This window comes from Homo sapiens, chromosome 11, assembly GCF_000001405.40.
Source record: "Homo sapiens chromosome 11, GRCh38.p14 Primary Assembly".
Taxonomy (NCBI): Eukaryota; Metazoa; Chordata; class Mammalia; order Primates; family Hominidae; genus Homo; species Homo sapiens.
In genome coordinates, this window is record NC_000011.10 from 103,293,465 (window position 1) to 103,316,784 (window position 23,320).

The following is a 23,320-nucleotide window of genomic DNA, read 5'->3' on the forward strand; positions in this document are numbered from 1 at the left end:
GCTAGGCAAGTTCTCTGTTATTATTTCTTTGAACAAACTTTATATCCTGATCTCTTTCTTTACATCTTCTTCAAGGCCAATAAGTTATAGATTTGTCCTTTTGAAGTTATTTTTTAGATCTTGTAGGCATACTTCATCCTTTTTATTCTTCTTTCTTTTTCTCCTCTATATTTTCATGTTTTCAAACTCACTAATTTATTCTTCTGCTTGATAAATTCTGTTATTGAGACACTGATGCATTTTTCAGTTTGTTAATTGTATTTTTCAGCTCTAGGAATTGATTGTTTTTATAAAATTATTTGAATCTCTTTATTAAATTTCTCTGATATAGGCCAGGCACAGTGGCTCACACCTGTAATCTCAGCACTTTGGGAGGCCGAGTTGGGCGGATCACTTGAGGTCAGGAATTCAACACCAGCCTGGCCAACATGGTGAAACCCCATCTGTACTAAAAACACAAAAATTAGCCAGGCATGGTGGCAGGCGCCTCTAATCCCAGCTACTTGGGAGGCTGAGGCAGGAGAATTGCTTGAATCTGGGAGAGGCAGAGGTTGCACTGAGCCGAGATTACACCACTGCACTCCAGCCTGGGCTAGTGAGAGTGTCTCAAAAAATTTTTTTCTCTGATATAATTCTGATTAATTCTCTGTGTTATCTTAAAGTTCATTGCATTTCCTCAAGACAGCTGTTTTGAATTTCTTGTCGGAGAGGTTACATATCTCTGTTACTTCAAGATTGGTGACTGGTACCTTATTTAGTTCATTTGCTGAGGTCATGTTTTCTTGGATGTTTCTGATGCTTGTGGACCTTCATCATTGTCTGGACATTGAAGAGCTAGATATTTATTCCAGTCTTCAGAGTCTGGACTTGTTTTTACCTATTCTTCTTGAGAGGGCTTTCTAGGAATCCAAAGGAGACTGAGTGTTTTTACCTAAGCCTGTTTTCACTAAAGCTGTTTTAGCACTATTGGGAACCCTAAGCCCAAGAACTCTATGACTCTTGCAGACTCCTAGAAACACAGCCTTGGTGGACCTTAGGAAGATAAGGGAGAATTCTCTGGGTTCCTAGACAAAATCTTTTGCTCTCTTTCCTCTCTTTTCCCCAAGCAAAAGGATTCTTTCTCTATGCTGGGTTTCCCAGAGTTTGGGGAGAGGCAATATGGGCTCTGCCTTGACCACCGCAGCTGGCACCATGCTGAGTCATACCTGAAGCCTCAAGCCTTCCACACCAGCACAGTACTGAGGCTTGCCCAAGGCCTGTGACCACTACTGCTTGGCTGTCACTGATGTTAATTCAAGGCCTGAGGCTACTTTAGTCAGCAGGTTATAAGCCAGCAGGTTGCCTTCTGGCCCAGAATGGATCTTGAAACATCAACTAAGGAGCAAAGGCCTGGAATCATAGGCTTCAGGAATCTTCCTGGTGCTTTATTTTCCTGTGACTGGTCTTGTGTCCAATTTGCAAGACATAATCCTCTGTACTCTTCTCTTGCCTTCCTCTAAAGAGAAGGAACGTGTCCATGTGCTGCATTGCCTGGAGTTGAGGGAGTGGTGATGCAAGTACTCTTGTGGGCTGCTGCAATTGGTGTTACACTGGGTCACACCCCAAGCCCACTGCTATGGACATCAGAATAGCACCAGGGCTTGCCCAAGGACTGCAGTCACTGTGTCCTGACTGCCACTCAGATTTATTTGGGCCCTCAGGCCATTTAATTAGCTAGTGGTGAAGATGACTGGGACTTGGTTTCCTCCTTCTGAAGCAGAGGACTTCCCTCTGGCCCCGGGCTGCTGTATATGCTCCTTCCATGGGCACTGGTAGAATTCTGTCTGGTAATGAGGAGGAAATTAAAGAAAGAAAAAGAAAAAGAAATAAGCTTTCCTGTATTAGGCTGACTTATCCTAGAAGCAGCAACAGGCACAGCCCAGACCCAGGAAAAGCCTCGATAAACAACTATCTGCGAAGCTAGGACACAAAGGAATGTTCTCTGGAGACTCTCCCAGCACTCCCTCAACTTAGGGAGGAGAAAAACAAATTTTTCTTTCTCTTATGGTATGAGTTTATAGATTGCTGTTCTCTGTAACTAATAACTTCAAGTATTCTGTTTTATCTAAGTGGTACAATGAAGGTCATGAGCCATCTGAGAAGGCCTGAGCTACAGCCACCTGGGCACCATAGTGAAGGTTATGAAATAAGCCTGTGCAAGACACTAGAGCAAAACCTAGATAACAACCATCTGTGCTGAATAGCAAGGGTCATGTGTAATTCTGAGTTATGCACCTGTCACAATTTGATTAACTGCCTTTGTTCTGCCTCTCTATCCTTGCTTTCACACCACTGTAATCCTGCTTCAAGTTAGCTCACTCCCTTTTTGAAGGGTGTATAAAGGTCAAGAGCTATCTTTGTTCCGGGCCCAGTCTCAGGATGTTAATCCACTGGGTCTGAGTGCCCTCGATAAAATCCTCCTGCTTTACTCCGAGGTCTCTCTGGTCCTCCTGATTCCTGCAACAGTATTGTGTTCCGCTCAGTGACAGGACCACACTGAGTTCCAATGCAAAGTCACACTCACTTTCCTCCCCTACGCACACAGATTCTCTCTGTGCTGTGCTGCCTGTGGTTGGGGTAGGAGTGGTATAGGCAATCCAAGACTGTTCTTCTCACTCTCTTCAATGCCTCTTTACTTGTGAGTCTATTGAAATCAGCTGCTGTGATCACTCACTAGATTTTTTGGTTTGTATGAAGGTATTTTCTTGCATGGATAGTTGTTCAATTTGATGTTCCTGAAGGGGACAATTGCTGGAGGATTCTATTTGGCCATCTTGCTCTGCCTCCTTCTTAACTGTTGAGTCTAAAGACTGAAGTAGTTGGAAAAAAAGATGCTGGTGTCCATGTTTGGAAATGCTTTTGAAAATACTTTATCTTGTTACTGGAACAATTAACATGTTCCCAAATTTGGATAAACATGGTGAGTAATAACTGTATAATACACATCTAAGAATATGGAGAACAGTTGTCCCTGTATTTAGCACTAAAATTAGTTGATTGAAGTAGGCTTTTACTAGCATTTTTGAGAAAATAGAAGCAATAGGACAAAAATTCTTCATTTCCCATCAACACATCTACCATTTGCCTTAGTACTCATACTCATTCTGCTTTCCTTTCTCTGACTGTGAATGAATGTCTTTGCTGTAATCAAAGCTCAACTCATTTGCTGTTTTCTTCTTCATTTCTGCCATTATCATCTTCTCCCACATCACGAATTTCACCTTCTTTTCTGGATCTTTTTTTTTTCAGCATACAAATATATTTTACTATCTTCTGTCTTAAAAATACCTCCCTTGGTCTGAGACCCTTTTCTAGCCACTATCCTATTTTTTACTTCTTTCTAAACTCAAAATTGTTCATTTCTTTCTAGAACACATTCTTCTCTTGATTGTTATGTTTCTTTTTTCATTCCCCAACCCTCTTAGGCTGTTCCTTTTTACTTTCCTTTACTGGCTTCTTGTCTGCATGTCTTCTAAGTGTTAGAGTACTTTTCTTTTTTACTATAGTTTTACCCTGGGTTTTATTCTTTCATTATTACACATTCTCTCTGTAGGTGACCTTACCCAATCCCTGGATTTAAATATCATTCTTAAATTACTGATGCTTATATCTCTTATTTCCAGCCCTGGAATTCTAAGCTTGTATATTTAATGCTTATTTGATGTTTTTATATTAAAAACATCAAAAATAAATGTCTCAAATTTAATGTGATCAGTACAGAACTTTTGATTTTTTTATACTAGCATCTACTCAGTTGTTTAATCCAAAACCCCAAAAGTACAGTCATGTGTTGTTAAACAGTTAACAGTTTAGCAGTGTTGTTTAACAAAAGTACAGTCATGTGTTGTTAAACAGTTGTTTAACAGTTTAACAGTGTTTAACAAAAGTACAGTCGTGTTGTTTAACAGTGGGGATGCATTCTAAGAAATGTGTCAGGCAGTTTCATTGTGTGAATATCATAGAGTGTACGTAAACCTTGATTGTACACCCTCAGACACACCTAGGCTATGTAGTATAACTTATTGCTCTTAGGCTACAAACCCGTGCAGCATGTTACTGTACTGAATGCTATAGGCAATTGTAACACAGTGGTAGGTATTTGTGTCTCTAAACATAGAAAAGATACAGTAAAAATACAGCATTATAATCTTATGGAACAACCATGGTATACATGGTCCATCGTTGATTGAAAAGTCATTATGCAGCTCATGTAATTCTTTCCTCTCTTTTCTTTCTTTCTATACTCAATCTACCATCAAATTCTTTTGGTTTCAACCCTAAAACTTACTCTGAATTCATTTTATTTGCTTTATTAGTACCAACCTAATACAAGCTATCATCAGCTCTCAATTACTGCCATACCTTTTATTTGTTGTCTCTATGTTTAGAGTATATCCAGAATCCAGTCACTTCTCAGACCTTTAGGACTTTCTACCACTTTGTTTAAGCCACTTTTATATAAGCGAGATTATTACCATTCAGGCTTCTATCCTTCCCCACTTTAAGTCTATCCTCAACATAGCTGCTAAGTGCCTTTTGAAATATAAATTAGATCATATCACTTCTCTGCTCCAAGTCTTCTGATGGAATGTGACATCTCATCTTCTTCAGAATCCTTATAATGTCCTACAAGGTCTTACCCTCAGATCTTATCTCCTAACCACTCTTGACCCTTGCTCAGTTCTTTACCAACGTAATAGTCTTTTTCTTGTTTTTTTTACTGCTCTAAGTATGTTTCTGGAATATCAGAACCTTTGCACTTGCTGTTCCTATTGCTCAAACGCATGTTAAAATAAAACAGGACACTTTTCAGAGAGGTTCTTAAGAGAGGTTTTTTTTTCCTACCCATTTAGTCTTTAATATACGTTTTTTGTGCCACATGGCACATAACCTTTCTTACTGATTTTATAGTTTAACTCCCCATCAACTCTTTGAAATACTTATGGTACTATTTCATCTCCAGGTCAAATGACATTCAAGGTTTAATGGCATTAATTAAAAACCTCATATTATTTATATATTCAGATGCTTTGAAAGTTTAATACACTTTTAAAATCATACTATTTCTAAGCAAAAATTATGTTTACTATTGTATGGCTGTATGACTTTGTATTTGGTCAGGTAGCTTTATTAAATTGTTTTAATGTAAAATTGGAGTTTTTATTTCAGGAATAAGTTTTAAAAATTCAAATTACCAGAGAACAACAGGCACTTCCCTCTTTTTAATCAAATTTTAGAGCTTTGATTTTAAATGTAATTTCTCAAGCATCATTCATATGGAAAGATCTTTATTAAGTTTTAGCAATTTTTTATAATCTGTAAACCTTAAAATAGTAAGTTAAAAAGATGTATTTATGAAAGTAGTCTTGATTTGAATATTTAAATTAGCATAGCAGTCCTCAAAGCTTTTAGGGATGCCTGTTTAATATGATTCTACAAAGCAAGACTTATGTGCTGGCAAAATCTACTACGTTACTTTTTAGAAATGGTAGTGACCAGATGCAAGTATTCTTACTTCTGTAATTCTGATATAATTTTGACTTAAAATGACTATCATGAGGAGTATATTATACTATGTGTATTGAGGTATTGGAAATGTAAAGAGACATGTCCCCATACGGTGCTACAATAACTACAGTAACCAGAAATTTTTAAACGTTCTTCATCCAAAAGTTATTTTTGAACTATGCATCTTTCCTAGTTTTACAGTTCTGTACCTCTTATGGCATCATCCCATCCCATGCACCCTGCTTTCATAGCTCAATCTGTCTTATCAAGTTTGTGTCTAAAAGAAAGAAAGACATAAGGATATGTGCATTCATTTTCTGTTGCTGCTAGAAATTTATCAGGTTTAAACAATGCCCAGTTATCATCTTCTGCAGGTCAGAAACCTGATGGGCTCACCAGGTTTCTTTGCTCCAAGTTTTGGAAGCCCTGGGGAAAATCCACTTCCAAACCCATTCAGGTTCAGCCCTATTCAGTTTTAGGAGTGAGGTCCCCATTTTCTTTCTGTCTTTTGGTGTCATTCTCAGCTTTTGGATGCCAGTTGGTATCTAGCCTTCCTCCATCCTTAAAGCCAACATTAGCAGATCGATTCCTTTGCATGCTTCATATCACTCCTGTTTCTCTTTTCTGCTACACTTCTTTGACTCTAACAAGAGAAACTGCTCCGCTTTCAAGGGGTCAATTGATTAGCTTGGCCCACCTGAATAACACAGGATAATCTTCTTACTTTTAGGTTCATGACCTTAGTTACATTTGCAAAGTCCCTTCACAGCAGTACTTAGTTTAGTTTTTGATTGAATAACCAGGGCTTAGGATTCTTGAAAGAGGTATCTTTAGAATTCTGCCTACCACAATATATTTGACATTTTTACTTGTTTCTAGGGTTCAGTACTATTCCATTTCTAAAGTGCAGTTTCCCATTTAATTGGTTCATATATATTGGGTTAGGTAGTGGCTGTTGATTTTCCTCTTTTTATTGATGTTTGTGGTACATTTTTACAATTGTTTTCTCATAAAAGAAAGGTAATTTTATACATCTGATACTTATCAGCTCTTTGTTATGGAGGATGAGAGGAATTAAAAAGAATGAATCTATTATACTTACTACGTATAATAGTTTTGATAATTTGCCACTTTCTTTACTCAGGTACCTGCAAAGTACGGGAGTCAATTTGTTCCTTTTTGAACTGCAAGTTGTTTCTTTTTTGTTATCTCAGTATTGTATTTGCATAAAATAAAAAACAATAAAGGTTTCAGTTATTCGTTTGTCTTATTCTTATTTTTTTGAAGGAAGTGCTGTATTTATTTTTTAAATTATGGTCAGAATATAAAGTTCCAGTGATTTCCAAATAGTTTTACATGATAATTCACAGTGCAATTATTATTTTTGGCTCTCTAACTATATTAAATAGTTTTGAATGATTCATATTGATGATTCTGATGGTATCATGAATCAGAATTATTTGGATTGATAAAACCAGTATACTCAGTTCACTTAAAGTGCAACAGAAATTTTGCTGGAGTTTTGTGGGCAGGATGGCTAACATATAATTCCAAGTAACATGAATGTCACCTGTGTTATATTAAATGGCAAGGTATTTTTCATGATTTTTTTCTCCAACTCAAAATGTTTTATTGCTTTGAAATATTGTGTAAAATGAATTAATGGACATATATTTATATCCTGTGGGATTTTAAAATTAAAAGTTATAATTGAATTTACTAGGCTCTGGATAATAAAGTAGTGAAAGATTCAGTATGATTCTTGCCCTCATGAAGTTTACAGTGTACATTGGTTAAATAAACAAGTGGTATGGTAATCTGCATTTTAGCTTTTTTAGACAGTTTTTGTACTGGCATGTATTTTCCAAATAAAATACACTTAAGTCAGTAAGTAGTTATTTTAAATGTAAATATTTTATATATATTTTGACATTTTTATTGTATAATACATGGTAATTACAGGAGTATCAGAAAATGCATAGACATGAAAAGAAAATGAGAAACACCTGGTATTCCATCATTAACACTAATCATTGTTAACGTTTCTATGTATGCCTTTGCTTTCTTTTTATGCACATAGAAGTGTATACATTACAATATGGAATTATTGCCAAATCTCTTGAATGGTCTGATTTTTCTGTAAATTATCTTTTACCTCAACATGTTTGTAACTTCAGTTTTAATGTATGGCTATCAGAAATTACTCAGACTCCTGTTAGAAACTCAGTTTCTTTCTACCAGTTTTTAGCTAATATCAACAGCTACAATGAAAAGCCCTTGTACATGCTTCTGCGTCCATATCCTGAATTGTTTCTTAAGTTATTCTAATTTTAATTACTGATCAAGGCCATGTACATTTTTAAGACTTTTGATACACTTTATTAAATCAGACAATATATTTAATTGGCCTAGATGTTTATTGAGTTAATGAATAAATAACTGAATGCTTGAATCAATGGAAATATTTCTTACTGCATTGCAAGTATGTAAGAATTCTTTATTGCTAAATTTAAATTGCTAACAATTGAATAGTTGTTAGCAATTTAAACTTAGTTAAAAAGAAAATTTATAAAATATGCCTCTAAAAGCAATTCATCAATTTTAAGTGGCTCTTGGAGTAAATTTCACCTGTTATTAGGAATATTTCTGCCTTTGGAAATTCTTAGCATTATGGGTAGTTGTTGTGAAGAACAGACAAGGGTGCTGCTTTAGGCGTGAAATGTACCTTTTCTGGTTGGCTATCTAGAATTGTCTCTTTTGACCCATCATGATAACACAGAGTTTATATTTTAAAGTGTTTATTATTCTTAATTCTTTAAGGATGTCCATATCTGAGGTGCAGTCTTGTCTATTCACTTCTATTTTTGAGAATATATGGAAGCCTTTCTTGCCCATGTACTCATTCAGTTACATTCTCCTAATTTTTCGTTTATTTTTAAACTCCTGTGTAACACTCATTTTAGCTCAATTCAAACAAGTATATTTTAAATTATTAATTGACATGAGCCTTTTCAGTTTGGCCTTTATGAAATATATTAATAATGGAAACTTTCAAGTTTTAGCAGAAGAGATTTAAATATAATAGCAAAATTATAATCTCTTATCTGAATAGGACTTTATAGTTTGTGAAGGGCTACAGAGCAGAAAAATCACAGATGAATTGTTTAAATATAGTTAATGGTGGCAGCTGGGTGCCCTTTGGCAAGATAATCAATTTCTTTGAGTATTAGTTTTCTTACCTATAAAATTAATATAGTGATATTTGTTTCTCAGGAGCATTGTATGGTTTATATATCATTTAAATAAACTACCCAGTATAATGCTTAGTATTCAGTAGGTGATGAATAAATAGAATTTGTTACAATTATTATACTTATTTTGCTTCCAGAGTACCTGTGGATTGCTTTATCCTTGTTTTGCAATTGAGGAAACTGAGGCACAGTGCATTTTAATGATTTGCATAGAGTCATTTGGCTAACAAATATAAACTGACAGCTATGTACTTCTGTCTTAAATGAAGCATTCTTTTCACTCTCCATACAACTTTTTTTCCCCATAACACATGGGCATAAGAAATAACTTTTTGGCCTATATCATGCCAGTGAAATCATTTACTCAGATCATGAGAAATCTGATTCCCCATATGCGTGACACAGAGTAGGCACTCAACTATCATATCAGTTAATGAATTGTATTGTACTAATGAGATATATAGATTGATGGTTGGGTTCAGTCTTCTCTTGCATTGTGGTCTCAATTTACAGTACAGCTACAGGCCTGTATTGTGGTCTCAATTTACAACACAGATGTTAAATGTGGTAATCAGGGTACCTACCTCATAGCATTGTAATAAGAAGATGATATCATACGTGGAAAACATTTAGAAAAATGCCCGGCACCTTAAGCATAAAACAGATGTTGGCTATTACTAGTATATTATTTTAGAGTAGAAAAACTTTAATGTATTATGAGATTACAACTCACCTGGGTATTCTCTATTATATATCATATAATTAGATTTAATAAACTTTTTAATAATGCATACTGCTTTTATTTTTAATTTTTAAAATATATATTTTAGGACTGAAAGAGGTGTCCCCACTGCCTCTAAATCTCAAACGTTTATACAAAGAGACACTGGAAATTGAACCCATCTTGATAATTATTTCTCCGGGTGCTGATCCTTCTCAGGAACTTCAAGAACTAGCTAATGCTGAAAGAAGCGGAGAGTGTTATCACCAGGTAAGTACATATTGTCCCGCTGTTTTTGTTTTTGCTATTGCTGTTCCCACACTTGATGATATTGGTCAAATGGACATTTTTTGTTGTGATAAGCCAAATAATGCCCCCAAAAATGTCTATGTCCTAATCCTCAGAACTGTGGATATGTTATTTTCCATGGCAAAAGGAACTTTGCTGATGTAATTGAGGATCTTCAGATGGGAAGAGTAGCCTGGATTAGCCAGGTGGACCCAATATAAAATCACAAAGGTTTTTTATAAGAGGGAGGCAGGTGAGTCGAGAGTGCAGCTAGGAGATATGATGATAGAAGTAGAGGTCAGAGAAGTGAGAAGGTGCTGTGCTACTGGCTTTGAAGATGGAGGAACGGGCCATAAGGAAAGAAATGTAGGTGGCTTTCAGAAACTGGAAAAAACAAGGGAAGAATTATCTTTTAGAGCCTTTAGAAAGAACATAGCCCTATAGTAGTACCTTTGTTTTCAAACTCAGACCCTTGATTTTAGACCAGTGAAACTTCTGGCCGCCAGAAGTCTGATGGTAATTTAAGGCACTAAATCTGTTGTAATTTCTTAAAGCAGTTATAGGAAATTCATACATTTGCTACCATTTTGAGAATTATTTTTAAAATTTTACTTGGATGCTTTTATAATAAATCACAGTAATGTTTATTTACACTTTATTTACCTGACCTGAAAGAAATCCAGAAAATCTTGAGTAAAATGTATTCATTGTAATGCCATTTTTTTTTTCCCTGAGGTAGGAACTTTTGTTTGTTCAGGGTGCCTTTTTTTCAATTTGCATGTAAATTTGAAAATGAAATGTATTAATTCACCCTCAATTTTTAAGAAGTGAATACATCTTTTTCACAGGGAAAATAGTTAATAATGATTTTTTAAACAACTGAATACTTCATAGCAACCAAAAATTGAAAAGTGAAAATTCTACAAAGAAAAATATAAATGAAAGATAGCAAAATAGCAGCGCTGTTAGGCTCAGGTGTGAAGGTTTTGCACTAAGTCTAGAGAGTTCTAGTCAATCATAGTTAGAGTAGATTAGTTTATACATTAGGTCAATATTCAGTTATCAGTGAGGGATCTTAGGAAGGGGAGCTCTACAGATTGTACCTGTTACTAGTGATTTTGGCAGGAAGGTTAAACTATTCATATAAGCTTTTAATTATTTAATGAAGATTAATTTCTGGTATTAGTTTGATTCTTCTTCCAAATTTATTATTAAAGCCAGTTAGGAAGGTTTAGGGATTACTATTATTGAATCTCATACTGTTATATTACAACATGTTAGCAGATCTGTTTTTAAATTTTGTTTGTTTTTTTGCTTTTGTAGGTTGCCATGGGTCAAGGTCAAGCTGATTTAGCAATTCAAATGCTAAAAGAATGTGCCCGCAATGGAGACTGGCTCTGTTTGAAGAACTTACATCTTGTGGTATCTTGGCTGCCAGTTCTGGAAAAGGTAGATTCAGATAAATGTACAAATAATATCTATTATACTCAACTTAGCAATCTCCAAGGGACATCAGTATTAAAATGTCATGCATTATTTATGATGATTTAAAAAGTAATATTTGAGAAATTTTAAATTTAAATATTTCATAAATATGTACAATTCTGCAAAATAAGACATTAATAGGAAGTCTATAAAAATCTTTTTTTAAAGGCATATAAGAGAAGCCAAGACATTTTTAATGAAGATTGACAGGGAAGCTTAGAAGACATATTTATACCATGAGTTTCTTTTTTTGCTCTTATTCTGTTGATCTGTATTGGGAGAAGAGACATAGTGGGGTGTCAGAGGGAACTGCCTAACTTCCTAGGTGCTAAGGAAGCTAGAGAATAAACTGAAGCAAATGTTTCGTTTATCTCAAATGGACTCAGGAGAAAAATAATCTTAAGACAGGACAAGTCACTGGATGGGCTTTACATGCAAACCTAGATTTTATTCTAGTGCTTATTTAAGAAAGATGAGTAGGGTCTTGGGTAGTTAAAGATGATTCTGAAGAGATATTCCTTGAAAGTCAAATAGGATTTTGCTAAGTATAGGCAAAGAAAGGATATCATGATTTTAATTCCATCAGCACAAGTAGAGATAGTGTTGGGGATGTCCACCCCTAGTACAAGGAATGAAGAGATGTCCTTGATAGTACTAGACGGGCCAGGCAGGGAAGCGTGGGGAAATTGAATTAGATGACTAGGAAAGAGCTAGGTTATGGAATACCCTGAGAACCATGCAGAACATTTTGGAATTTTTGTCCTGGGACTTAGAGGGCCAAAGGAGGTCCTTAACAGAGAAGTTAGTAATTAATTAATTAATTAATTTTTTCTGGCAGTGGTATATAGAATAGAAACAAACAGAATAGAGTAAATTGAGGGAGGTCCTGCCCTAGGTGTGAGGTATTAAAAATCTCTGCAGTCCTAATTAATTGGCAACTACACACTTCCACAAATAGTCAGTAAATTTTTGATGAGTAAGTTAATGAGTGAGTGAATGAGTTGATGGACCATGGTGATTCGTGATTCATTACTTGTAATCAAGAGAAGATACAGATTTTGGACTATGAATATTCATGTAATTCTATTATGGCTTTCTGTAAAAATTACTAATGTGTAAAAATATAAAATTTATGTCTGATAAATCATATATGTTTTGTTTTGGGTTTTTTTTGAGACAGAATCTTGCTCTGTTACCCAGGCTGGAGTGCAGTGGCACAAGTTTGGCTCACTGCAACCTCCACCTCCCAAGTTCAAATGATTCTCGTGCCTCAGCCTCCCAAGTAGCTGCGATTACAGGCATGCATCACCATGCCTGGCTGATTTTTGTATTTTTATTAGAGACAGGGTTTTGCCATTGTTGGCCAGGCTGGTCTCGAACTCCTGGCCTCAAGTGATCTGCCTGCCTCAGCTTCCCAAAGTGCTGGGATTGCAGGCGTGAGCCATCGCGCCTAGCCTGATAAATCATGTATGTTTTAAGATATGTAAAAAAGACTGGCAAATACTTGTACTGCTTTCTGTGTCAAACAGTTGATTGATAGCTACTAATCTATGTAAAATGTAATTAGAGTTATTATCTTGAAAGCACATCTTAATTAGAACTCGTAGAAACAGTACATAATATTATATAATTTTTAAAATAACTGATTATTATTTGCTTTTCTATTAGTTTGGGTGGATTGATTGGATATAAATTTATAAATTTACTGTAAATCCAACTATATCCAGCTATAAATCCAACTATATCACAATGTATTGTTTCTTTTACCTTTTAAATTTTTTTAGATTTGCTAACCCAAAGCAAAGTTTTATATAAACTTTACATTTTAAAGTTATGAGGTGTAAATACATTTTATCCTTTATAATTTTAAGCAAGCACAATGTTTTTAGGGCCATTCTTTTGTCATTTTTTTGTCATCTTAACTCTACATTTCACGTGATATTAAATGAATGTTAGTGTTAAACATCAATTATATTAAAATAATTTTTAGACTTCATTCTCTTTTAGAGCTATCAAAACTTCTTCTGTCATTTATTTATTCATTTATTAAATTTACAAATACTTGCTGAGTACAAGAAAAAGCCAGAAATTGTGCCAGGTTCTGGTTACCTACAGAATTTGTACCTGCTCTCTGGGAACTTAATTTAGAAGAGACAGATCACATTAATAACTATATTGTGGGATGAAGAATACTGTGGGAAAAATTTACAAAATGACATGGGTCATTAAATCTGGTTGGGATTGTGATAGTGAAGAGTTGGAGAAGATATTCCACTAAGACATAATATTTAAATTGTATTTTGACAGATAAGTAATAATTTGTCAGAGTACAAAGAGAATAATAGGCAGAGGAAATATGATGAGTAAAGATAGTCATAAGAGTCTGGATAAATGACTAAAGCCCACAGTATGAGAAGCATGGGCAGATGAATTTGTATGGTGAAGTTTTGAATTTATATTATAGGCCATAAGGTGCTACTAAAAATTGTAAATAAGGGAATTAATATCATTATATAACTCTGTAGAAGCATGAATTAAAGCAGTGAGAATCTAAAGACCTTAAGAAGGCTGGTAGTTTAGGCATAGCAATTGTAGCTAACACTTACTTTGAACTTACTATGTATCAGGCACTGTTTTAGTGTCTTAAACAATTCTTTGTGATAGGTGCTATTATTATCCTTGTTTAGAGATGGAATAAGTCAAAGAGACCAAGGTCACATAGCAGATTAGTGGCAAAGTATGAATTTCAACCCAGTCAACATGACTTTAGATGGAGATTCTTATTCATTACACTGAGCTAGTAATAGAAAAGATAAAAATTTAAAGGAAATATAACCAGAGCATTAAGAAATACATCAGAATGTCACAAAAGTTTTAATTAAAAATAGTTACTAATAATGTAATGTAAAAGAGAAACTTTCATATATATTTAAGTAAATTTTTGTCATTGGTTTTGTAAACAAGGAATTGAATACTCTTCAACCTAAAGATACCTTTCGTCTTTGGCTCACTGCAGAAGTTCATCCCAACTTTACTCCTATTTTACTACAGTCAAGTCTGAAGATAACATATGAGGTAAGAAGATTTAAAACTTGGATCACCAGTTGTATGAAAGCAGTACTCTATACATGACTTCTAAAACTTTGTAAACAACTATTATACAGAACACACAACTTCTTTTTACATTTAGATGAGGTATACATAGATAATAGCATAAGATGATGTAAAATACATTTAAATCTTTTCAAATTTTATTTCATACTTATGTTTTTTGTTTTTATTGTGGTAAGAAACACATAACATGACATTTGCTATCGTAACAATTTTTAAGTGTGTAGTGCAATATGCACCTTGTTGTGCAGTAGATCTGTAGAACTTTTTTTATCTTGCAAAATTGAAACTCTATGACCATTGAAGAGCAACTCTTCATTTTGCCCTATCCTCTGGCAACCACCATTTTACTTTCTAAGAGTTTGACTGCTTTAGCTACCTCATTTAGTAAAATCATGGATTATCTTTTTGTTATTTCACTTAACATAATGTCCTCAAGGTTCATCCATGTTTTAGCATGTGGCAGGATTTCCTTTCTTAAGATAGGATAATATTTCATTGTATGTATATACCACATTTTCTTTATCCATTAATCCATCAGTGGACATTTAGGTCTTTGACTTCTTGGCTGTTGTGAATAATACAGTGAACACTGGTGAGCACATATCTCTTCAAGATTCTGCTTTCAATTATTTTGGATATGTAGCCAGAAGTGGGATTGCTGCATCATATGGTGATTCTATTTTTAAGTTTTTGATGGAACTTCATACTGTTTTTCATAGTGGCTACATCGTTTTACATTCCCACTAGCACTGAACAATTTGTCCACATCCTCACCAACACTTTTCTTTGAGTGTGTGTGTTTAATAGTGGTCGTCTGAGTGGGTGTGAGGTGATGTCTGTTTGTGGTTTTGATTTGCATTTCCCTGGTAATGAGTAACGTTGAGCATCTTTCATATGTTTGGACATTTATATATCTTATTCGGAGAAATGTCTTTTCAAATTCTTTGCCTACTTTTAAAATTATTTAATTTTTTGCTGTTGAGTTGTATTAATAGTTCATTATATATTCTGGATACTAATTGCTTAGTATCTTATCAGATGTATGGTTTGCAAATATTCTCTCCCATTCTATAGATTGCTTTTCACTCTGTTGATTGTTCCCAACCTCCCTGCCTTCCTTCTATGCTTATGTCCATCCATCCTTGTATCTCTCTAATATGTAATGCTAGGTAGATCCAACCCAAACCTTATATAGCTAAAATTGTGTTTGTAATGATATTTTGTGATTTGTCAGAGTCATAAATGAAATAGCAAACTATTAAAACTGTCATTTTATTAGTGTTTGTAACTGCATGCTATTTTTTTTTTTTTTTTTTTTTTTTGAGATGGGGTCTCGCTCTGTTACCCAGGCTGGAGTGCAGTGATGCTATCACAGCTCACTGCAGTCTCGACCTGCTGGGCTCAAGCAATCCTCCCACCTCAGCTTTCTGAGTAGGTGGAATTACAGGTGCTTCACCACACCCAGATAATTTTTTTATTTCTTTTCTTTTTTTTTTTCTTTTTTTTGAGAGACGAGGCCTAACTATGTTGCCGAGGCTGGTCCTGAACTCCTTAGGCTCAAGCAATTCTCTTGTCTTGGCTTCCCAAAATGCTGGGATTACAGGCATGAGCCATTGTGCCTGGTCCTACCTGTTATTTTAGATCAGTACTGCTCTTTTTCATCTGAAGGTGTTTGTTTCATTTAAGGAAAAAAAAAAGGGTAAGCATTAATCCAGAAATGCAAAGATGATTTAATATTAGAAATATTTTAATTGAATGATTATAAGGTCTAGTAAGAAAGAACTTTCCCAGAATCTTCTCCAGCTACAATCCCACTATACAATTCTACTAATCTATATTCTAGGACTGGATTGCATGAGCCATGAGGGCAGGGGGTATTTTTTTTTGCTTGCATTTTTGAACTTAGCATGTAATTCAAGGCCAAGTAAGAGGAATTCAGTAAATATTTCGATAAGAGAGTATTATTATACCAGGTAAACTGTTCCTTGAATGTTTTAATGTGTAACCTTTTCTGGGATCTTGTTAAGAGGTAATTTGATTATATTTTTATGGGAATTTCCAATTTGATTTCAATTATTAGTGAATTTTTTTATTTCTTGAATCACTATAGGAAATTTTAACTATCTTAGCTTAGACTATCTGTGTAGTTCATTGAGATGTTCAAAATGATTATATGTATGTGCATATATATAATATGGGCATATATTATTTTTTAAAATTGTTAAATTCACTTCATTATTTTTTTCCTTTTTCGATTAGTTGTCAGAGTTGTTTAAAAAATTGTTTTTCCAAGTAACTGTTGCTATACTTATGAATTTGCTTTTTCTTATTCTTTTCATTTCACCGAATTTTCTTCTTTTTTCTGTTTTCCTTTCTAATGCTGTCTTTAGATTTTTTCTCGTTTTCTTCTTCCTGATTTCTTGAGTTGAATGGTTGTTTTGTATTTGCTTGTATTCATACTGAAATTGTTCTAAGTCTGAATTTGCAGCTTAATATGTCTTTGGCTTTATTTCATAATTTTGGCATATTAGTATTTTTGTTTCATTTATTTTTCAGTCTGTACTTATATGTGATTTTCTATGTAACTGTATAGGATTTATTAATTTGTATGATCTTTAGTGTAGTGCCTTTTTAAAAACTCTAAGTGGTTGTTTGGTTTCCTATTAATGTCATGTTTTATTGAGTAGTGTGCAGAAATTTGGCCTTATCTATGGTGGTTTTTGTAAATGTTTCATAAACATAAAAGCTTTCATTAAAAAAGTGTAAATTTGATAGGTACTTAATACTTCAGTAGTGTATTTTCTTTTTTTTTTTTTTTTTTTTTTTTTGGGAGACTGAGTCTTGCTCTGTGCCCAGGCTGGAGAACAGTGGTGTAATCTTTGTAATCTTGGCTCACTGCAACCTCTGCCTCCTGGGTTCAGGCAATTATCCTGCCTCATCCTGCTGAGCAGCTGCGATTACAAGTGTGCACCACCACACCTGGCTAATTTTTTATTTATTTTTTGTATTTTTAGTAGAGGCGGGTTTCACCATGTTGGCCAGGCTGGTCTCGAACTCCTGACCTCAAGTGATCCACACACCTCAGCTTCCCTAAGTGCTGGGATTACAAGCGTGAGCCACCATACCCAGCCACTTTTTAAAGAAGAAGGTCGTTTTACTTAAGAAATAACAATGAAAAGGATTTCAAAGGGGATGACTAATTTTTGTAGTAGGCATTCTTAAAGTATTGCCCTGAATTTATTATTTTTATGTTAGAAACCATTTTGGAAGAAATATTTTATTTTTAAAACAAGCTAATTAGAATAACTTGGGCAGAAAAACCCACATTATATATTTTTTAATATTAGAATTCTTTTCGAGGGGGTTGTTTTGCTATTTTCCCATGAACTTGAAAAGTTATCATTTTGATAATTTAAAAAATAATGACAGATATGATACATATGGATGAACATTTTTAAAGATTTTATACTAGTCTGATATATAATTTCACTTCCTGGATTTTTGTGTCTATGAACCTAGCAATGTTAGGTAATACTTTAAATCTGGACTAATGCATAAGGAACGTTAGTTGACATTCTATGTAAATGGTATGTTGAATTCCTCATGGAAATTCAAATAGCAACTAGTAAGGGAAAGCTGCTGTATTAAACTCAAATACCTGTCCCATAACAATCAATATCACATTAGTATTATTAAGTAGTGATTTAGTGTCAGTGGGAAAAAAAAAACCTCTCAATCATCCTATAAAACTTATTTGGTTATTTTGAATATTATTGTATAGATTTTTAAATTTGAATAATTATTCTGTATTTATATTTGAGATGAACTGTTAGATATAAGCAATTTAACACTAGTTTTATGTACATTTTGAAGTAACATAATAATTTAACTCAAACCCGGTAAGCAGTGAAAAATTTTCTTTAAATTATGTTCTTAAATATGTTAAAATCTAATATATTTTACTTGTAGGATTTTAGCAATAGGATGTCTGTTGATTTTTTTTCTAGTCACCTCCAGGTTTAAAGAAGAATTTAATGCGTACTTATGAGTCTTGGACTCCTGAGCAAATTAGCAAAAAAGATAATACACATCGAGCTCATGCTCTCTTCAGTCTTGCATGGTTTCATGCTGCATGTCAAGAAAGAAGAAACTATATTCCTCAGGTAAGTAAGAACATGTCTTGAATACATTCTAAGCTTTATATTTTTGTATGTTAAAATATTTTTGTGGCCAGGCATGGTGGCTCATGCCTGTAATCCCAGTACTGTGGGAGGCCAAGGTGGGCGGATCACCTGAGGTCCGGAGTTTGAGACCAGCCTGACCAACATGGGGAAACCCCATCTCTACTAAAAATACAAAATTAGCTGGGCATGGTGGCGCATGCCTATAAGCCCAGCTACTCTGGAGGCTGAGGCAGGAGAATCGCTTGAACCCGGGAGGCGGAGTTTGTGGTGAGCCGAGATTGTGCCATTGCACTCCAGCCTGGGCAACAAGAGCAAAACTCCATCTCAAAAAAAAAAAAAAAAAAAAAAGTAGTGGCACACGCCTGTAGTTCCAGCTACTTGGGAGGCTGAGGTAGGAGAATTGCTTGAACCCAGGAGGCAGAGGTTGCAGTGAGCCGAGATCACGCCATTGCATTCCAGCCTGGGTGACAGAAAGAGACTCTGCCTCAAAAAAAAAAAAAAAAAAAAAAAAACCAATTGTAATGTAGTATAAATAGCTAGGTTTACATATTTACATATTTACATAGTAATTTGGCTCATGACTTAAATTTATATCCTTAATTTGATCTTTTCTGCTAATCTAGACTGTATATAGCTAACTACTTCACGTCTCATTGTATTAAAGTATTAAGAACAATTTGTGACCCATTATAAGCCCTCAATGAGTGTTAGGTATCATTTTTATAGTTTATATTGCCTAGACGTCTCAAACTTCAAAACTTGTATTCCCCATACCAGTCAGTTCTTCCCAATAAAAGCCATTGGTATCTGTCTGCTTCCTCAGTCTATAAACTCAGGAGCTGTTCTTGATATGTTGTGTTTCTTAGCTTCCCTATCCAATCCATCATCAAGTCTTGTTAATTCTACTTCCAAAATATAATTTAAATATGTGTACTTCACCATTTTAAACCTCACCTCTCACCTGTACTACTTTCTGAATTTGTCTTCCAACTGTTCTTCCTACTTTTTGCATTTAGCAACCAGAATTATCTTTCTAATATCTGAGTTTGGTTATTACTTTGCTTAAAATTTATCAAGTGGCTTTTTATTGTACTTAGGGAAAAGATATGCCTTACCATAGTCCAGAAGAAAAGACCCACCTATCTCTTCAGCCTCCTCTCAGGCCCTTTGTGTCACTTGCATTCTATACTTCAGTCATGCTGGGCTTTTTTAAGGTCTTGAATCTGTCTACTCTTTCTCACCAAAGGCTCTCTATCTGTTATCGTCATCACAATCAATAAACTGCATTTTTTCCATTGCCATGGCAGTCATATCTGGTACTAATGGTCAATTCTTCTTGCCAAATGCTTCTCTCAGCTGTAAATTGCATCACTCTTCCATCTTTAAATTTTTCCCATCCTCTTTTTTCAACTTGGTCCACTTCTGTTGAGGAAAATCTCTCCTCAAACTTTCCCCCTCATGCTGCTCCCCTTTTAACCTCTCTGTTTCAGTGCCATGTCAAAACAAGAGCATAGGTTCTGGAGCTAGACAGACTTGCATTTGAGTCCTGACTTGAGAGTTTCCTTGCAGTGATACCTTGGGTAAACTGTTTTAACCCCCAAAAGCGTCAGTTGCCTCAACTGTAGAACGAGAGTAACAATCATATTTACCTTTATTGTGGGCATCAAATGAAATAGTGTATGTTTAATGCTTAACACAGTGTCTGATTTGTAGCCTGTCAATAAACATTTGTCAAACAGATGAAATAGTAAACAATAATAGCATTGTGTTGTTTCTTATAATATGTATACCACACTTATGGGGAGGACTCATTGATCATAGTTAACTTGCTCAAAGAATCACACCTAAAAAGTAGAGTTCCAAAATGGGTAGGCACATCTTCCTGTAAATCTTTTTTTTCCTGACTTCTCTGACCTCTGTCCTTAGCCTAATATATCAATTAATCCTGAAGGATAGATGAACAACACTGATAGTGATTTACCTTTATTGAGAAAAGTTACATTAAAAATTTAGATTTTATTATTAAGTTATATAGGCACATGGTATAAATAAAAAAGATATAAAATGGTTTGTAATGAAAAGTTAGGTTCCTCCCTACTTACTTCCCTGCCACCCACTTTCTATTCTGAGAGGGTCCACTATTAACCATTTCTTGTTTGTGCTTCAGAGAGATTGTATAAATACACAAACATATTAATTTCTATATGCATTTATGTTCTTTATAACTCAAACAGTAGGTAGCATATTACAAGCACAGCTCTGTACCTTGCTTTTTAAAACAATATGTTTGACATTGTTAAGTATCAGTGTCTATTTAATGCCTAACTTAAAAATATTATTTGTATTACATAATATTGCTATAATTTTTTAGCAGTTTTGGATTGTTGGATGGGCATATATATTCTTTTCAACTTTTGTGAATATAAAAAAATGTTGCAATGGAGATCCCTATGCATGCTTCATTTAACACCTATTTATAGCTGTCAATTTTTAAATGTGGAATATTTGGGTCAAAGAATATATGTATTTTTAGAAATCTGTAAATATTACCAAATTGTTATCCATAGGGGATACAGCAATTCACTTTCCCACAAAAAAAAAGTTGGAGAATGTCACTTTTTTTCATACCATACTGTTGTTGTCATAAAAATCATAACACTGGAGGTAAATGTAGACAAAATATATATACCTATGACATGGTCTCTAACAATAGAATTGTTAGAGACAATTTTTATTAGAGACATGTCATAGGTATATATATTAAGCAATATTGATAGCAACGGTTTTCTAATTTGGGGATTTTAAAAATACTGATCTTCAAGGTATTAAACATTTTTTAAAAATAAACTTTTTCACATACGGTCTAACAGAATGATATAAGAAATTTTATTAAGACTTTTGAATTGTTAGAAAGTTTAGATAAATATTAGAGGAATTTTGTTAATTGTTGATGGGTACATATCCTTTAGAGATCTTTAATTCTTAAATCTGCTAACAGCAAAATTTAAATCTTTTGTTTTCATAATATCCACAATGTTCTTTTTTTAAAAAAGTATCCAAATGCTATTGACCCCAAATTTACACATACAGCTCAGATCAATTTTCTAGGCTGTATGTTTGCATATCTGGCAGTTGACATATCCAGTTGGATGTCTCAAACATGTCTGAAAATTCACGTATTCTGGATCAAGCACTAGAATTTAAGCTTCCCAAGTGCACAGATATTTGCCTCTTGTTTATTGCTATGTTTTAATTGACGAAAACATGGCCTGGTATATAGCAGTCCAAAACTTATGTTTTTGTTTAATGTGTTTGTTTAAATGCTTTGTTAAGCTTTTGTTTGGTGATCTCATGATATTCCTTCCCAAACCTTGTATTCTTTCAGTGTTTCACTTATTAAGAATGACATCATCCATCATCAATTTGAATGAGCGATAAGCTTAGAAGTCATTCTTAACAGCCCTCTTTTTCATGTCTTCATACTCCATTACAATCCAATACAAAAATTCTGTTAGTTTTATTTTCCTAACGAGTTCTTAAATCTGTCTACTTTTATCTTTGTATGTCACCCCTCTCCCCATTAGGGTGACTTTCCCTCTCCTCTAGATTAGGTCAGATCTCTTTCATATGTGTGAAACATACTAAATGTTTCTCTCCATCAAAGTTATTATCATTTTACAGTTGCATATGTATTTGAGTGATTGTCTCCAGCCCACTCTTTCCCACGTTTTACTGAAAGCTACATGAGGGCAGGGATAATTTTTTTGTTCATTCTTATATTCCCAGAGCCTGACATATAATACATATTTTAAAAATATTTTTTGAGTGTTGAATGAATGAATGAAATTTGTATCAGTATTCCTAATATCCAAGTCTAAATATATTTTAATTTGAACTTATTTTATTACTTAGAACTAATTAGTCAATAGAAGCCATATAGAAATTATTTTATGTTTCAATTTATTGTCTACACAATATAGAGCTCTATGAATATTCATTTTATACAAACATTGTAGCTATTAGTTATAGTTATATAATTTTATTTAGTTCTGATACGCATGCTTTGTGGGTTCAATATGAATGAATATACTGCTATAAGCTTTTGGGCCTTTTTTTGTGCAGTATTTTTTTTTGTATGTTTGTGGAGAAAATCCACAATTCTGGAGGATAAAATTTTAGGAAATATCCCAATGTATATATAGCAATTAGAATAAAAAATGTAGTATATCAGTTTGTTCTCTATGATTGTGTTGCCACATAACTAACTAAAACTAGTATGGTATTATAAAGTACTTTTCATGCTATGGCCAGTTAATTTTTTTTAAGTTTACTGTTACTTTAGATTTATTATGTGTTGGTTTTATTAAAAATTCTCAGGAGTTATATATTTTTAAGTCTATATTGATCATTTAATTTAAAGACAGTGATACATACATATATATCTTTGACTACTGCTTAGTTGTTTACTTAAAAAAATTGTTTTTTGACAGGGTTGGACAAAGTTTTATGAATTTTCTTTATCAGATCTTCGGGCTGGGTACAACATTATTGACAGACTTTTTGATGGTAAGTTCTAACAAAAATTTTAATCTCATATTAATAAAATATTTTATCTGAGGTCTTATTAACTATGTTTTCTTCAGAAGTGGCTTAACTTCCTATCACAAAATTTGCTTGTGCTTTTTATTTTATTTTTTATTTGACTTCTATACCTGTGTTATCTCAGAGTT

The 23,320-nt window shown here is 33.9% G+C and overlaps 1 protein-coding gene across 5 annotated transcripts in view; it reads left to right on the forward strand.

The window, feature by feature from the left end:
• The window catches only part of DYNC2H1 (dynein cytoplasmic 2 heavy chain 1), a 370,438-nt gene that overhangs the window by 184,039 nt on the left and 163,079 nt on the right, over positions 1–23,320 (forward strand). For all 5 annotated transcript variants that reach the window (NM_001080463.2, NM_001377.3, XM_017018291.2 and 2 more), the window contains 5 exons: positions 9,629–9,789; positions 11,131–11,256; positions 14,257–14,367; positions 18,414–18,569; positions 23,081–23,156. In NM_001080463.2, coding sequence (NP_001073932.1) covers positions 9,629–9,789; positions 11,131–11,256; positions 14,257–14,367; positions 18,414–18,569; positions 23,081–23,156 — 630 coding nt within the window. The remainder of the gene's footprint in view (positions 1–9,628; positions 9,790–11,130; positions 11,257–14,256; positions 14,368–18,413; positions 18,570–23,080; positions 23,157–23,320) is intronic.